Source organism: Homo sapiens, chromosome 4 (assembly GCF_000001405.40).
Source record: "Homo sapiens chromosome 4, GRCh38.p14 Primary Assembly".
In the NCBI taxonomy this organism is placed as follows: Eukaryota; Metazoa; Chordata; class Mammalia; order Primates; family Hominidae; genus Homo; species Homo sapiens.
The window spans coordinates 69,404,290-69,424,077 of NC_000004.12; the positions used below are offsets into that span (position 1 = coordinate 69,404,290).

The 19,788-nt window shown below is 32.9% G+C and overlaps 2 pseudogenes; both read left to right on the plus strand.

Moving 5' to 3' along the window:
- On the plus strand, positions 2,688-3,618 carry LOC100422029 (UDP glucuronosyltransferase family 2 member B7 pseudogene; annotated as a pseudogene).
- UGT2B24P (UDP glucuronosyltransferase family 2 member B24, pseudogene) lies at positions 4,522-19,285 on the plus strand (annotated as a pseudogene).
- The last annotated feature ends 503 nt before the right edge of the window (positions 19,286-19,788 follow it).

The window sequence follows — 19,788 nt, forward strand, 5'->3', positions numbered from 1 at the left end:
GGGGCAGGGACATCAAGAAAGAATTCTCAAAAGAATATATACACAGGAATGTTCAAGATGATCAACTAGATGCAGTCAGGAAGTGCCACTGCCAACAGGGGAACACCAGGTTTTTTTAATCATACCAACATAATTTGAACAGATCGTTGAAGAGAAAATACTGAATGTGGATGGAGAAAAGAAGTAGTCACCGAGGCTGAAGAGAAAGAAAGCTGAGGACGCTGAATGGGGTGCCTGAATACTACAGCTGGTTCTCTACCCTGAGCTGTTTCTAGGGAAGGGTGAGTGAAAGGAATAGTAAACAGCTTCCTCTCACTGTAGACATCTGGAATTCTGGCTAGATGGGGCTCCATACCTTCAAGGACATGTGGACTGGCAGAGGGATCTCCAGAGATTGCACAGAGATGGAGCTGCAGACAAAATCCAGGGACCTTTGTGAATAGGTCCTTTACAGAGACAAGTCTCCTATATAAGAAAAACTTGAAGCAAAGGTGTTGCATTCAACTCCTTGCCTTCAGAGGATGCCCTACTCTGTAATGTCATAGCTTTCAATGAACTATCTTTTCTCACTGCACTCTGTGACTCACCTTGAATTCCTACCTGTGTGGAATCCGAGAACCTTCTCTCGGTGTCTGAATCAAGGCCCCTTTTTCTGGGAACACTTCCAAGGAGACTTTTCTGGCTTTCACCGTTTATCTTAATTTGATGGTTATTAGTCCTCACTCTTCTATTATTTTCTCCCAAGCATTAACTCTGAAGAAAAAAACATTTGCCTCTATTGTGGTCATAATTTCTACTTTTCTCATATTGATAAATTTGGGATATATCCTAATAAGTAACACTTTCCCTTTCAAAAGATTACCATCATAATTTGCCATTACTGAAAGTATGAAAAATTTAAATTATCACATTCCAGGGTCTATTTGTGTTCTCCCTACCAATAGTGATAGGATTCTCCTTACAACTGGTAGTGAATGATCCAACTCTAAAATCTCATTTTGTTGTCTGTTCTTTTTTTCTGACCTCTCTTGGTACATATTTTCAAATGCTGGGTGGCTCCAAGAAGTAGACTCTAAGCTGAATATGTTTTTGAGGGAGATAATTCAGGAGTTTTATTGAAAATAACATCTGTGAAAAAGTAGGAAGCAACACTGGACTGTGGAACAAATTAGGATAAAATTCAGTGCAATGGTTTGAATGCTTGAGTGCTCCAAAGATTAATATGTTAAAATTCTTATAACCAAAATGATTGTATTAGCAGACAAAACCTTTTAGGAGGTGTTTAGGTCACGAAGGCAGAGTCCTCATTAGTGGAATCAATTCCATTCCAAAATTTGCTCACAAGAACTCATTCATCTCTTTTCCCCATTAAGACATGGTGATGGGCTGCCATCTTGGAGGAATGCCCAATACCAGCATCTTGATTGTGAAAACTTCAGCCTCAAGAACTGTGACAAATAAATGTTTTTTGTCTATATGCTAGGCAATGTATGGTATTTTTCTGTATAGCACCCTGAGCATGCTAAGACATGCAGTCTCAGCATCGGTTTCATCTCACCCACTGGGAGTTCTGAAGACAAGTTAGCCCTTCAGAGTTGGTCCACGTTGAAATGAGGAAGATGGGCCTTTAGAGTCTTACATATGACCAGGCATTGGATATGGGCTGTCTTGGAAAGGTCACTTTATACTAGATAGCTTTCAGCAGCGCTGTACTGAGAGAGAGAGAGCTTATAGGTGAGGTATGTCAGTTGTTAATCACTTCATCAGCTGGAAAGTAATTTCTATATTCCCAAAAGAAAAATCTGGGTGACATATAATGCATGCACTCAAGGACATTAAAAATATTGAACAATATTGCCACTCTGCAGGCAATATTTGCTCAGAAATTGTGTTCCAACATCCTTTTAAGAAAGACTTATCTCATTTCAGGTTAGCAGATTATTAATAGAATAAAAACAAACTTGTCTATTTTGTGACATGCATCTTTTCCTTCCTAATTCTACTTTGATGTAAATTTCTGGTGAGACTTTTTAAAAGTACAAATTACCTGAATTACAAGGCAATCTGTGAAACAAGTTCAGGAGTAGGCATTTAGAAGATAAATACTTTCTAAGAGTGAGAAACGTAAGGAATGCTGCAAATATTCAGAAAAAGAAAATATTGTGATTTAGACAAAATATTTTCAAATGAAGCAAAGTAACTGTAATTATACTTAAAATATATCTGTTTGGATAAAAAGAAAATGAATTTCTATAGTCACAAAAACAATGTCAAGAAACATGAAATGATGCTAATATCATAATTGTGAAAATACATAGAGGAAATGAAGACGGTCTATTTGAGAATGTTAAGATAAATAAGAATAGATCACACCACTGCCTCACTGTTGACACAATGCTGCTTTCTTATACTAGAAACTCTTCATATACAATTAAATTATCTCTTGTTCTGGAGACAGCCACATTTACAATAAGAATGAAATTGATTATTCACACATACAAACACAAAATCATTCATCCTTTTCTTTATTCACTTGCTTTCCAAAACCTCTATTGTCAATACTTAAATCATTGTGACATTGATTGATATTGATATGTACCAAGTTAGAGAAAGTTATAAAGAAAGATAGCATTTTAACAAGTTGTCTAAGAAATGGGCTTTTTTGTTTCTTATGCTGACAGTTGTATTTTAGCCCTGAATCCTGCGAGAATGTGCTGGTGTGGCCGATGAAATACAGTCTTTGTATCAATTTAATGTTGATACTTGATGAACTTGCTCAGAACACCATGAGGTAACTGTGCTTGTCACCTTCAGCTTCCATCCTCATTGATTCCAACAATCTGCTGTTAAATTTGAGGTTTATCCCACATCTTTTACTCAGAATGAACTTGATTTCCTTTTTATGAAATTGATCAATATATGGATGTATAAGTTTCCAAAGAGTACATTGTTGGCATATGATTCAAAGATGCAAAAACTACATATCATGAATGTTCTGATACTGTTCAAAAGCTCTTTGAGTATGCTGTTTTGAACAAGAAAATTATGAGGAACAGGATTCCAGAATTTATGTCATTCTTGCAGATGTCAGTTCTCAGTAGTGAGCTGCTATCTGAACAGCTTAGTCTGTTAAACATTTGTTATACATTTGGTCTACTATCATCAATTTACAACTGGCAGTATGTACCAAGAACTCTGTGGAGGACTTACATTACCTCCTTCTGATGTAACTGTTGTCATATCAGAACTTAGTACAAAAATACATTTGTAGAAAGGTGAAAAGTCTGTTGCATTTTCTTCATTTTGACTTTGCATTTGAGATTTTTAACAAAAAGAAGTGGGATCAGTTTTACAGTGAAGTATTAGGTAAGTTAGTGTTTAATTTATTCACTTTTCCCTCCAATATATGGAAAGAAACCTTCCTTTTTTGTGTCTGTTGGAGTGTGTTTATAAATTAAAATAAAAAATAACCTTTTTGGTTATGTGAAAGACAAGGGTTGGCAAGATTGTGGAGACATTGAAACCTTCATACATTGTTGGTGAGAATAGAAAATTATTCACTCACTCTGAAAAAGTCTAGCAATTCCTCAAAAGGTTACACTTACATTTACACATAATTCAGTAATTGCCTTTCTAGGCATATACCCAAGAAAAATAAAAACATGTCCACAGAAATCATGTACATCAATGTTAATCAATGTTATTCATAATGGCCAAAAGTGGAAGAAAATCAATATCCATCAACTGATAAATGAATAAATAAATTGTATTTATAAATAGCATCTGATACTATTTGGCAATAGAAACGAAGTCCTTATTTACACTATTCTATGGATGGTCCTTTAAAAACATTAAACTAAATAATAGAAGGCAGCCACAAAAGACCACATATTATATCGTTCCATTTACTTTTAGAAAGATCCTGAATAGGTGTATTTCTAGAGGCAGAAATTAGATTACTGGTTACCCAGTGCAGGATGGATGCAGAAATTCAGTGGGGAGAAGAGAGCTAATATACAGGAGGAATTTTCTTTTTTTTTAGATAAAACTCATTGTTATGTTGGATGCACAAATCTGTGAATTTACAAGGAAATACTTAATTTTAAATAATAATTGATGAATCATATGGTATTTGAATTATACTTCAACAAAGTTTTACAAGGTATTCCTTGAACTACGATATTCAAAAATGCTATTTGCATTGTACAATCTCTTTATCTCTTATTTGGTGTCAAGGGCCCTGCAGGACTGTCTCACTTGCCACTGTTCTTGACACCATTATAAAATACATTGTATAAAACAGGGTACTTGCAAGGTCATTAATCTTAGGTAGATGACAGCAAATATAAAAGAAACATCAAACATCCTTGAGTAAATATGAAGCAACCGAACTTTGTTTGTCTCCTTGCCATCCATGGACTCAGGATGTTCATATAATGTATTTACTTTGAATTGAGGGAGTTATGTTTTAACTTGATTGATTTATCTCTGTATGTAAGTATGAGAAAGAAACAGTGACTTGAAAAGAATGATCACATTGCACCAGGATGGTTCTGAAATGGGCTTCAGTTCTTCTGCTGATACATCTCAGTTGTTACTTTAGCTCTGGGAGTTGTGGAAAGGTGCTGGTTTGGGCCACAGAATACAGCCTTTGGATGAATATGAAGACAATCCTGAAAGAGCTTGTTCAGAGAGGTCATGAGGTGACTGTACTGGCATCTTCAGCTTCCATTCTTTTTGATCCCAACGACTCATCCACTCTTAAACTCGAAGTTTATCCTACATCTTTAACTAAAACTGAATTTGAGAATATCGTCATGCAACAGGTTAAGAGATGGTCAGACATTCCAAAAGATACATTTTGGTTATATTTTTCACAAGAACAAGAAATGCTGTAGGAATTACATGACATATTTAGAAAATTCTGTAAAGATCTCATTTCAAATAAGAAACTTATGAAAAAACTATTAGAGTCAAGATTTGACATCGTTTTTGCAGATGCTTTTTTTCCCTGTGGTGAGCTGCTGGCTGCGCTACTTAACATACCCTTTGTGTACAGTCTCCGCTTTACTCCTGGCTACACAGTTGAAAGGCACAGTGGAGGACTGATTTTCCCTCCTTCCTACATACCTATTGTTATGTCAAAATTAAGTGATCAAATGACTTTCATGGAGAGGGTAAAAAATATGATCTATGTGATTTATTTTGACTTTTGGTTCCAAATATGTGATATGAAGAAGTGGGATCAGTTTTACAGTGAAGTTTTAGGTAAGAATTTTTTCAGTTGGTAACATAAATATCTAACTTATTTGTGTCTTTGAAGCAGAGCTTATATAAAGCCATAAAGTCAGGGAAGTGGAGTTTTTGGTAAGTGAATTTGTGAAATGAAAATACAAGATGATCTATCAATCTCACAAATATTATAGAAAATCTTAAATTATGGGGTCTCTTAAAACCCTGTGGCCATCTCTCACATAGAACACGCTAGGAAATCATAAACAAATATTAGTACACCTAAGACGTTAAGCAATTACACATCTGTTTTACTATATAATGTTTTAGATCTTAAAAACAGTAAAATCCATCAAGTAACATCTTACCAAATGCATAGATTTAGAATGAGTAATTATACATTTTTCTACAACTATCTATATTACTGCAGAAATTTTTCTCTGTAAATCTCAGTTTTCTTATTTAGAAATTAAAAGATATTCCCATGTTACCAGAAGGTTTCCTTCACAGTAGAGAGAGATAATGTCTACATCTCAGGTGCAAAAATCAATAAGGGTAATTTGAAGTTTCTAATGTTTTTATACTCCTTCACTAAAGAATTGGAATTCATTCATTTGAAGTCCAATTATCTTGTTGAAGTGTGAAGGTTGTTAGATCTATATAGTTTATTTGAAACTATGTCTCTTTATTTAAAAATATGAGACAGATTAAGGTTGAGTACAGATCTCTACTTCAATAATTTCTCAAAAATATCTAGCTATAATTTACAAATATATTTACTTAAAAGATAATATTATTAAGATCTTAGCTCAAATCCAAATGAGTAGTTGGTACAAGGATTTCTGCCATACTCTCAAAATAGTCCAGAGTTCACTTGAAGAACCAAGGATAAAAGGATTAGCTAAATGAGCTGTGTAAACCAGACTGTTAGAAAATTGTTTTTATGGGTACAGTAGAATTAATTGATTATGGAGCTCAAAGAGTTGTTTAAATATCTATATGCTACTATTGAAGCTTTAAAGAGAAAATAAATTGATGTTTAATTATCTATGACTTATTTTAATAATTATGGGTATACTGACATGACATTAGAGATGTAGCTTAACCTCATAATTCTCCCACCACTTTGCCTTTCTTATAAATAAACATGGGCAAAATATATAATACATAAAAATATATTATTCATATATATGAATATATGTATATATTTTTCAAAGCACACAAACTTTACCTACATCTTTGCCTACGTTATTCTAACCCCTTTGAGAAAGTTATATAAAGTAACTGTCTTACGTCATCCACTTTTTCTTTTCTTTATTCCTGTCAGGAAGACCCACTACCTTATTTGAGACAATGGGGAAAGCTGACATATGGCTTATGCGAAACTCCTGGAATTTTCAGTTTCCTCATCCATTCTTACCAAACGTTGATTTTGTTGGAGGATTTCACTGCAAACCTGCCAAACCCCTACCTAAGGTAAACATGCTTTCGTTGGTTTTATTTTGTTGGCTTCGAAGTTTCAGTAGAAATGAGTCTATAGTCTTCATTCAGAATGTTTGACTTACACTGAAAGAAAGATGGGAAGTAGGTGGTGTAAAGCAGATACCAATTAGAAACTCATGTACATGTTAATACCATCACACATATGTGAGTTTTATGCATATTACAGAGAGAGAGGAATAGTAAGGAGACTTTGAAAATAGAGTTGGTTAAAGTAAAGTCTTGATTATGCAACACCTAAGAAGGTATTGATCATTCATTCAGAGAATATTTATAAAGGGATTAGCACAAAACACAAGTAAGTGCAGAAATTTCAGAGAAAAAAAAAGACACAGTTTCCGTCCCTACATACTTTACATTCTACTTTGAAATATAGATTATAAGTAATTAATGAAAATGTTATAAAAAACTATTATCTCAAGGAAAAACCCAATGTCAAGAAAGCATCAGTGGAGATAATAGAAAGTATCCTGGAGTTACTGATTAGTAAGATGAGAGCTGAACAATATGTAGGAATAGGTAAAAGAACGACGGGGAGGGGCAGACAAAAAGGGAAAGCAGATAAAGTGGTCAGGACAGTTCTCAAGTCCTCAGGTTTTGTTTTCAGGGAATGATTAAGAATCAGATGATATTAAGAGGTAAATTAGAGCCAGATACATATTAGGAGTGGAAATATTTGTTAAGAATATTGAAAAACTACTAAAAAGAGTTAAGAAATAAATATATATGAAACGATTCTCTTTTTTAAGAAAAGCCTCCAAGATATTCAATGGATTAAATTACAGAAGGGCCACACTGTAAAGAGCCAACCATTCAGGAAATTTTGCATGGATTCAGGTAGCAGATGATGGAAAAGTAGACTAGAATGTTGATAGAAATAATTATGCCTACATTTACAAAAATAGTACCAACTTCATATTTTGTTGTGTGGAAAAAATATTAAAACAGACAAAACACTTAAAATGTCTCTGGCATATAGTCAGTGACTCAGAAATGTTATTAATTTTGCATTATGGTTATTTTGTGATTATTACTAATACTACTAACTACTTAATATGTGTAAGTCACTTGAGATATCATTCCTCATTTAAGAGAACCAGATTATTCAGCACATCAAGGTTATATTCTCTTGGAAAGTCATAGATGACAGATACCCTGTGGACTTGATTAAAATTAGACATATCAATTGTGACAGCAAGTTGAGCTGCTTGAAATTCTAAAATTCTACCATAAGTAATAGGGATCTTCACCAGTATTCCAGCTTAAAACACTTCCTCAGCAATATAAATGTGTACCTCAAATATGTGCAGACAAACCCAGGGTTCACTTGACTTTAATAAAGTATTTAAATCATTCTGCATTGAGATCCCAGAATTTAACATTTTAGATCATAAACATACCCTATTAGAGCAGACGATGTCTGCCTTATGACAAGCAACTCAGTAAAGCTTCCTGGGGGAACTTGTCTCAACATCATAGGTGCCTGACAGAGAAGCACAGAGATAGTGAACAATGCATGTATAATAAAGACCAAATAATTTCTACCACTTGTATCTGAATAGTGCCCTTAGTTTCAATACGAAAAAAATTCTGTCAGCATATAAGATTATATTCTTTTTGAAGGAACACAAAAACCACATATATTTTAAATTAATATCACATTTTAAGACATACGTACAAAGAAAGCCTTCTTCAATGCATGATTATGCAACCTCTTAAAAGAACATGTTTGCTTACATAAAACTGAGATTTTATTCCATTGTTAAAACTCAGTATCTCTGTTTAATGCAAATTGTATGGGCTTTATATAGTCACTTTCTCAAGAGACAAAAGCTGAGGTAAGACTAATGAAAAATCTATGCCACTCAACACTACTCTTGAAAGATTTCCCCATTCACATTAAGGGAAACTGACAGTGCAAATAGGAGGAGGAAGAGAGTAGGAGATGTAGAAGGACAAGAAAAAAGGTTGACTAGTAGTACAATAGTGGTAATTACTAATAGTAGGTCTTGTTATTAACTTGCAGAAAGCTTTGAATGCAAGTCAATTGTTGTGAAACTGCTTCTTTGATTGTTTATTATGTAAAACAATTGCTAACCCAGGTTGCATTCTTTTCAATTATATATTACATTCTCAGATAATTTCTATATATTTTAAGAGAATAAGACACTTGACAAAATGTATCAAGTGTTTTAAAAATGCATATTGTTATTAATTTTATAATATATTCACGTGAAATCATAAAAAAATCAAGGTGTATCTATTAAACCTTATGGAAAATATTCACAAAATTAACATTAGAAGTAATCCAACATCTTATACGAAAGAATGATTAAAACTTATGTGCATATAGTAGCATTAAAATAATTTTATCAATGAAATGTTCAGTTACACTTTCAGCCATAATACAAACAAAGTGAATTAGAAAATGATAAATATAGCAAGATGGCAAGTTTTTGCAGGAGGAAATGTATATACAATAAGATTAAAATTTTCTAAATAAGTGTCACATGTATACATTGACCTATATAAATTTGACAAAATCCATAATAAAAAATACATATTTTCTAAAAATTATACCTCTAGATAGAAATTTTAGAAAAATTATCTTTTAAAAAGGTTTTCATACTTTTATAAAATTTCTTACATTAATTTTGTATTATTTTTATAATATTATCACAAAAGGAGAAACAAGCAGTCCATATCAGTGATGAATCTCTAAACAGAGGTTAGATTCCTTCAACACCTGGTAGAAAAACAAGGCTCTGGTATCAAGCCAGTGAGATGAAACACTGAAAACGAGTTACATTAAATGTGGCTACAGGTAACTGCAATCACATACAACACCTAGAAGCCCCAGGTATTACGTGGAATAGTAGTACAAGGACTCTCACGTTAATGTAAGATTAAAAATCATATTTTAAGAAAACACTCTGCCATATGTGATGCACTGTTTACATTTAGACTTTTTTTTCTTTGTTTTGTTAAAAAACATTTGGAAAAGTTTTACCCCAATGATTAAATCTGAAAATATTTAAATTTAAATATTGGTATACATTGGGGAACTCAAGTCAGAATAATTCTCAATCAATTGCAGCCAAGCACATCTTCACCAGGAGTGTAATGTGGTGTGCGTGAGCTACTCAAAAGAGAGACAAGATCCCCCTGAAGAAAGGCCTGGTGGCCTCTTCTATTTTGGTGCCAGTGCTGCCTCTGAGACACAACAAAGTGATGATGAGAGTTCCTCACATGCAGTTAGAAATAGCACATCAATTTAACAGTGTGATTTCAGGGCAATAGGTGTTCCACCTAAACAATAACCTGAAAGGTACAATTATTCAACAACTAACTATAAACTCTACAATTCCATGTGATAAATGAGACTCCCAAGACTGATTCATAAAAATTCCAAATCACAATACTAGACTCAGGAATGTCAGTGATTCTTAACCACCAGCTTTTATTTTCATTTTTTGAAAAACTACTGGAAAACTCTGACAAACTTTAAGTGAAGCATAAAGCATTCTGGAGGAACATAAATGTAGAGATAAAATTATCCCAACTGTGAATAGCTTTTCCTCAGTGCTCATATTTAGGGAAGAAAACCACTAATGTCTTCAAACTAAAAGAATTCTACAGAAAACCTGCCTGAAATAAACACAAGTGATTTAGTAGAACAAAAACATAGGATTAAAGCCGAGTGGTGCCACTATTCCAAGAACTTATATTAGTAATTATAGTATTATAAGTGAAGGGTCTGGGTATATTTTTTAACATTATCTCGCTGACTACAATGTAATGGCTCCATTTCTTTCCTCCATTACACACATGCAGACACATACATACATATACACACATATTTACACAAATATCCTTAACAGAGGCCAACTATCTCAAACATCTTCTTGCAAAGAAACTGAGTGATTTAGTTAAAAAATATTATTAACTCCAATAATTCCTCAAAATACTTGATTTTCTCTCTTTAATATTTGGTACCAATTCTTTCAGTAGTGCCTGCTGTGGTGATACTCTTTTGTGATGAAACAATTTTTTTTTTTCACAGGAAATGGAGGAGTTTGTACAGAGCTCTGGAGAAAATGGTGTTGTGGTGTTTTCTCTGGGGTCAATGGTCAGTAACATGACAGCAGAAAGGGCCAACGTAATTGCAACAGCCCTTGCCAAGATCCCACAAAAGGTAAGATAAAGTGCCTTACTGGTGTGGAAAACTACTGAAAGAGGCTGTTAAAGTTTGTGATCTACATAGAAAGAATATTAAGAGTAGATTGAACTCTTTACAGCCAAATGCAGCCTTAAATATGCTTGTGTAGCTTCCACTGACACAAGTAATAGTTGTGCCTCAGACTTAGTGGTTACATGTGGCCCTGGGGTAGTTACTGCCCTTGTTATGCATGAGTGGTTCCTATTAGTATCAGTGGGAACTCAGTACTCCATATGTATCCACAAAAGGGAATTGAGACTCATGGTTATTTTTAATTTCTAATATTAACAGTCATACATACTGCTGAATTTAACTCAATATAGTTCAGGTAAGTGAAAATGGTGCTTAATGTAATCTTTAGAATGACTTTCAGGTGTTTTCAACTAAAAATACATATCCAGAACTGCATCTTTGTAGAAATACAAGGAAGACTTATGATAATTTTCTTCAAAACAATTTTCCTAATCTCAGCAATATCCAATGAGTGAAGAACATTTGACTTACTCTTGGGCCACCTCTACTACTTACCGTACTCTGGAAGCTCTTGGTGAATGTTTACAATTAAGGAATGTACTATTTCTGTTTGTACTTTAAGTCAAATGCTTATGTGAAATATGTGACAACAAATAGAGAACACTGCCTGAAGCAGGAAGATGAAAGAGAAAGGATGGAGATGGATCCTGACCTGAAGGTGGATCCTGTCCAGTATAAAATGTGGCCCCACAAGGACTCAACACTAACTACCAGATTAACAACCCCTCCCAATGGAGGCAGCGGAAGGAAATATAGGAAGGAGTCAAACAGAAGGAAGCCAGGCAGTTGAACAGGTTCAGATGCCCCCTCCATAGAACACAGTAGGAATATATTTTCTTCTATATAGAATAAACAAGGGACCTTTGTGTATTTGTGAATTACTTTTTAATTTCCTATCTGATAAAGCTTTCTTGTAATGACCTCTAACTTTTTGCTGAAACCTGAGTTACTTTAACACTGATGTAGCAAATAAAAGTTAAACACTGTAAATTATTGTTCAGTTTGTGAGGATTGCTTTGGAGTTTCAAAATTAGTAACTTAAACATAAAAATGTCTTGGCTATAGCAGAACATATTAATCACTGTTGTCAAAGTTTGTAGCTCGTTGTCTAAGTGTTAATAATCAGTTGACCAAATTCAGCAAAATACAATTTTGAGTTTATTCAACAGCTTTATTTGTATTCATGATACCAACAGGTTCCTCATTTCTAGGCAAAAAAAAAAAAAAAAAAAAAAAAAAAATTAACAATACGGTAATATTCTGAATTTGTGTCTAAAATTGTCACTTGAAATTTTTCTTGGAAGTAGTGCTTGATAATTTGTAATTCCAATGAAGTTATACATAACACCTTGGCAGCATTTATTTATTTATTATAAGTAGCTTATTTTACAGACTTGCTATTTTGTCAATCAAAGGACAACAGGCTCTAATGTAATAACCTACCGACAAGTAGATATATTTAAACAACTTCTCATATTATTCAAAAATAAATGAATACATTACAATTAAATTTGGAGATGAAGACTAATATAAAATACATAAAACAAACATATAGGTCATTACTAAATAGTTACTGTTTTTTTACACTGGAATTACAATGACTCCTTATAAGTTTTTATACTTTTTTTAGAATATTTTTATTTTTTAAATTAAATTAATTTAACTTTTATTTTTAACGTTTATTTTAAGTTCAGGAGTACACGTGCAGGTTTCTTACATACGTAAACTTGTGTCATGGGGGTTTGCTGTACTGATTGTTTCATTACCCAGGTATTAAAACTAATATTTGTTTATTAGTTTTCCTGATCCTCTCTTTCCTCCCACCCTCCACCCTCCAATACATCTCAGTGTATGTTGTTGCCATGTATGTGTCCACATGTTCTCATCTTTTAGTTTCCACTCATAAGTGAGGACATGTCACATTTGGATTTCAATTCCTATGTTAGCTTGCTAAGGCTAATGGCCTCCTGCTCCATCCTTATCCCTGCAAAAATACATATTTTTGCTTTTTTATGGCTGCATAATATTCTGTAGTGTATATATGCCATATTTTCTTTATTCATTCCATAATTGATGGTCATTTAGGTTGATTGCATGTCCTTGCTATTGTGAATAGTACTGCAACTAACATATATGTTCATGGATCTTTATAAAAGAACAAGTTATAGTCCTTAGGTTATATACCCAGTAATGGGATTGCTGGGTTTCATGGTATTTTTGCCTCTGGGTTTTTGAGGAATCACCACACTGTCTTCCACAATGGTTGAACTAACTTACATTCCAACCAAAAGAGTATAAGCATTCCTTTCCTATATAACCTCACCAACATCATGATATTTTTTGAATTTTTAATAATGGCCATTCTGACTGGTGTGAGATGCTATCTCATTATGGTTTTGATTTGAATTTCTCTAATGATCTGTGATGTTAATTTTTTTTCTTCATGTGATGGTTGGCCGCAGGTAGGTCTTTTTTTAAAAAGTGTAACAATTTTTTAAATACTTGAACTTTTCATTGATAATCTTATTTTTCTAAGGTACTATTTTGGAAAATCATGGTTTCTTATATATCTAAATCATTATAAAAGTTAAGAAAATAAAATGTGAGTATTGTTTTTACATCAGTCTTTGAGTAGATTTATTTACTAACATCCCTTGATCTCATTCCTACCCTTTTTACAGTTCTAACATTCTATAATTTTTGAGTTCCACTCATGGAATAAGATATTCTCTTTACTGTAACAGGTTCTGTGGAGATTTGATGGGAATAAACCAGATGCTTTAGGTCTCAATACTCGGCTGTACAAGTGGATACCCCAGAATGACCTTCTAGGTAACACTCTGGTGAACAAATACTGGATATATTAGTAACTGCACATTAGAGTGTTAATAGTTCATCTTGAAACAAGCTTATTGATTATTTGTTATAGGAAAACAAAAAGGAACTTCTTTATATTTATTTTCCAGTCCTAGGGGAAAAGAATATACTATAATTGTTGGCATTTTGTGATACACACTCACATTCTTTATGGTCAGAATCAGAGAGAATCTTTATTTCAGGTGTTATTATATCTCACAGAATTTTTCAATATCTTCCTTGGCTGTCTCTCTGTCTCCTATTTCTACAGCTTTACACCTGTTTTCTCCTCTCCTGCAGGGTTATTTCAAATGCCACTAAATATAATAGCTCTTCTATCACCAGTGACTCTGTATTTTCCGGAGGACTAAATTCCTAATCTTAATCTTAAAGTAATGACACATTTCATGATGAAGTGTAACCTGTCTTTCCTCAATCCTAGCACCACCAACAACCCACTGCCTGCTGCCTTGCATACCCCGCATATCACACTCTGTGACTGTACTTAAAATAAAACTTTATTTCATGCCCATCTCTTTGCTGTCCTCTTTTGTGCACATTTAAAAAATCTAGAATGCACTTTTCATTAGTGCAACTGAAAATCTTGTATTAAGTTTTGCAGTCTGAAGTCACACACACCATATAGCTTTCAGTTACATCTCCTAAACAAGTACGTGCTTTTTCATCTGAAGTCTGAAAAGTAATAGCAAATTAGTTCAATGTGTTATCTAGAAAACACTGTCACTTTCAGAGCCTTTCATTGTGCATCTCATTTTATTCCTATGAATAATTTTGCTAAAATTCATCCAATCCTAGGTCATCCAAAAACCAGAGCTTTTATAACTCATGGTGGAGCAAGTGGCATCTATGAGGCAATCTATCATGGGATCCCTATGGTGGGCATTCCATTGTTTTGGGATCAACCTGATAACATTGCTCACATGAAGGCCAAGGGAGCAGCTGTTAGACTGGACTTCCACACAATGTCGAGTACAGACCTGCTGAATGCACTGAAGACAGTAATTAATGATCCTTTGTGAGTAGAACAATGTTTTTCACTAGGTGGTATTTGTAGACAGCTTCTCTTGTCAATAGTGAGCATGAGTTTCATCCTTTTTATGAGAGTAATTTTGAAAGAATTTAAATAATTTAACCAATCTGAAATCTGCTTTTTTTCATCTGTTATTTAAAAATTGTATTTGAACCCCATACATCTAATGAGTAACCAGTTAGTGAAACAATTTTCTAAACAAAAATAATTTTAAAATGATAAATAATATAAAAAATACATTTCTTAAAATTTTAACATAATGAACCCATAGTAGAAAGGAAGAATAAACTTGAAATAATATAATAAAATGTTTTAATTAAATATCTAAAATGACTCAGAATATAATTATTTTCTTGCTGAAAAATTAATTTTTATCATCATTGTAACAGACTTGAAAATGAGATTTAATTTCGATAGCTTAAAATCCACCTATTTATGCCATAAAATCCAAATATTTTTACTATGTTTACACAGTCATGAAACTATCATCATTATATAATTTTAGAACATTTTTATCAACACAGAAGAAACTTCAATGACACCAAAATCAATTCTCATGACTGCTTAGTCCTAGTCTAACACCAATTTGTTTTCTTTCTATATAGGTTATTCTCTCTAGATATTTCATATAAATGGAATTATACAGTCTTGGGTGCTGTGTAAATGACATTTCACTTAGCCTAACTTTTTGTGTTGTTTTATGGTTTTTATTTTAATTCATATGGTTGTGTGTTTTAATACTTCATTTCCTTTTCACTTCTATAATATTTTATAGTATGGATATGTCATAATTTAGTTGTTCATTTGTCAGTGCATTGGCCTTTTGATTGTTTCCAATTGTGGCTACTAGGAATATTGCTATATATGTTTTTGCATAAACATGTTTTACTTTCTTTTGGGTTGATGCTATAAGTGGAATTGCTGCCTCATGTGAGAACTGTATGTTTCTGAAGAACTGCTAAACTCTTTTCCAAAGTACTTGTTCCGTTCATCAATACCGTCAGCAGTATAACATGGTTCCAATTCCTCCACACTGTTGCCAAACCTTTTATTTTCTGTCTTTTTGTTACAGCCTTCTTAGTGGGTGTAATGATCTCTCATCCTGGTCTTGGATTGCATTTTCATTACTGCTGAAGATGTTGAGAATCTTTAAGTGTGCTTATTGATCATTCACATATCTTCTTAGAAAACATGTCTACTCCAATGCTTGGAACATTTTTACCTTTGTTATTTGTCTTATTATTAAGTTTTAAGAACTATTTATATATTATGGGACAAATCAGATATATAATTTTTAAATATTTTTCCCATTCTGGGTGCACTAACTTTTTACTTTTTGATGGTCTTTGAAGCACAAAAAATATAATTTTAAGTCATATTTTTAATAATTGATTTTGTTCACACCCCAAAGATAACAATGTGAACAATTCCTTGCGGAGTCCAGCTACCATCAATTCAGCATTTATAACTACTCTCAATAAAGTTTTTGTGTAAGGAGGGTATCATCTAATGGAATACTTTAAGAATACTTTATCCCAAAGAAAATAGAAGGATAATGAATGATCAATATACCTTTAAAGAAGATGGGAAATAATTGAAAGGCAACACAAACCAGCTTGGACAAATAGAAAAGAAATATAAAACAAAGTGGTAGATTTAAATGTAATTATACAAATACTTTCACTCAATCTAAACAGACTTTTAATAAAAGAGCAAATAATGAGTAAGGACATAAAACATTTGAAGAACACAATTAACAAATGGAATCTTATAAAGTAAAATGATATACACACACATATATACATAAACAATATACATGTATGTATTGTATATATCAACTTGAAGACACTTTTTCCTAGAGTACGTCAAGTAGTTAATCTTTACTTGAAGTGATATGTGGTGGGCAATAAATCAAGACTTAGGAAGTATAAAAAGATTCAATATTATGAAGACTATATAATCCAGCCATAGTGGAAATAAAGGAGGTTAAAAATACTATTACTAAAATATCTTTAAATTTTGGAAATTAACAAAATACACTTCAAAAAACTTTAAAGTCAAGAAGTAAATCATAAGTATTCATGCACTTTTATCACAGCAATTCTGCTCTCAATTATATACCCAACAGATATACATAAATATATAAATCTAATGCTGTATAGAAGAGTGTTCATGACAGAATTATCAACAGTGTCCAAAAATTGTTAGCAACCCAAATATCTATTCATCATAAAATAAAGACGTAATCTGTGGTTTATCAGTCAACAGAATACTACATAGCAATGGAATTACCCAAGAACTGCTACAGTAAAGAAAAAGACACTAATGAGTACATATTATATAATTCAATTACACAAACAAGCAAAACTAATGTTGTTATTCGAAGTCAGGCTAATCCTTAGTTGTGTCCTTAGTTGGAGGACAAAAGTAGTCACTAAATGGTTCAGAAACAGAAAGTTATTCTGGGCAGGTTTTGATAGCCTATACCGTGACCTGAACAGTAGTTAAATTGGTATCTTCACCCCAAGATAATGTTCAAGATGATCTTCCATTTTTGAACTATTCACTTAGTGTATGTATATTTATCTTTTGTGTTTTATATTTAAATGTATATTTTATGAGATATATAAATCATTTACAAAATTCTAGGAATCAGATAGAAAATAAGCACAGAAAATAGAGAAAATCCTAGAGGCTCCATCATAGTCTGGCCAGTAAAAGCCTCTCTTAGAGGTAACACTTAGAGGGTAGCCACAAAAAGGGAGAGAAGCATGCCTTGGGTTGTAGCAACAAAGAATACTCCAAAAGCAGGAGAGAAGGGACAAAATGTGTAAAGTGCTAAGATGAGAACACCTTTGGAAGCTTAAAGAAAATTAGAAGGCCAATCTAGAAGACAATGTGCAGGGGAAAAGTGTTAGAATAAGAGCTTGCCAGTGTCTTACAATGTAGGGTTCTGTAGATCAAATAACAGAGTTGAATGTTATGATTAAAACAATGAGAAGCCAGGCAAAAATCTTAATCAGAAGAGTGCCATAATCTGACATTAATTTCTAAAAATCATTCTGGCTACAGGGTGGGAAACAGAAGGAGACAAAAGAGTAATGTAGAAGCAAAGTGACAAGCTATGAGGTATGTCACTCGCCATGATAAAATTCCTTTTTAGGAACTTACAGATGATAATTCTCACATCGCATTTTCACAATCTTTCTTACGGCACTTAAAATGGCTCATGATGTTGAGCATGTACTCATATGCCTGTTTGAGAACTAAGAGTGTAATTGGATTGTTCATAATACAAAGGATAAATGCTTAAAGGGTGAATATCCTATTTTTCATGATGTGATTATTTCACATTGTATCAAAACATCTCATGTACCCCATAAATATATACACTTAATATGGACCCACAAAAACTTAAAATTAAACAATTAAAAACAATTAAAATGCCTTATATTTTCTCTGCTTGAAAAAAATTAACTTTCTCACCTGGTCTTCCATTTCTACTTTAAAAATATTTGTCAATTAGAAAAGTCCAATTTAAAAGCCAAACTTTCTATGATGACTCAAATTAAGATACACAAATTCTCTGTCATTTCTTTGACATTTACTTTGAATTATTGGACACTTTAAAAGCCTTTCATAGACTTGATATGTACAGGCAAATTAACTTACTTTCAGTGTTGGTATCTTTATTTTTGTCCTTCAGATATAAAGAGAATGTTATGAAATTATCAAGAATTCAACGTGATCAACCAGTGAAGCCCCTGGATCGAGCAGTCTTCTGGATTGAATTTGTCATGCGCCACAAAGGAGCCAAACACCTTCGAGTTGCAGCCCGTGACCTCACCTGGTTCCAGTACCACTCTTTGGATGTGATTGGGTTTCTGCTGGCCTGTGTGGCAACTGTGACATTTATCATCACAAAGTGTTGTCTGTTTTGTTTCTGGAAGTTTACTAGAAAAGTGAAGAAGGAAAAAAGGGATTAGTTATGTCCGACATTTGAAGCTGGAAAACCTGATAGATGGGATGACTTCAGTTTATTCCAGCAAGAAAGACTGTGATGCAAGATTTCTTTCTTCCTACGACAAAAAAAAATCTTTTTGAAATCTACCTTGTCAAGTGAAAATTTGTTTTTCAGAGATTTACCACCCAAGTAATGGTTAGAAATATTTTGTGGCAATGAGGAAAACACTAGGGAAAATAAAAAATAATATAAAGCCATATGAGCTTATATTGAAATTTGTTGCACTTATATTGAGATTTGTTGTTTTAATTCGCAAGTTACATGAAAAAAAATTACTCAGCTTAACTATATTTCACACATTTTACATAAACACAAGAACATTAAGAAGTCTACTGACAGTATCAGTACTGTTTTGCACATACTCAGAATAATTTGGCTTCATTTTGCACAGGATTCTGTTGTTTTAACTGTTGCTAAAGAAACTATTACATAGTTAAATTGTATAGAAAGTTTCTCTCTGCCTTTTGATATTTTGAGATAAGTAGTATTGCTTCACTTTTACACTCCATGCAGCTTTATTGTCTAATTTTTTGCTAAAATTGATGGCCAAATGTTTACTGTTTTAAGAACTTAAGTCATTTCTCAGTGGAAATTATGTGGAATTAGAAATATAGCCACTGTTACCTGCTTCCTACTGTAAAATTTAACTATTTTGCCACATCTTTGGTTTCATGAGCAAATTCTATTTTTTCCAGATATTTAAACATATTTGTCTGGTTGATTTTATTCTCATAGTTTTAATTACTTCAATAGTTATTTGGGAACAGGTTGTGTTTGATTAGATGGATAAGTTTTTTAGTGGTAATTTCTGAGGTTTTGGTGCACATATCATGTGAGAAGTGTACCTTGCACTGAATGTATAGTCTAGTATCC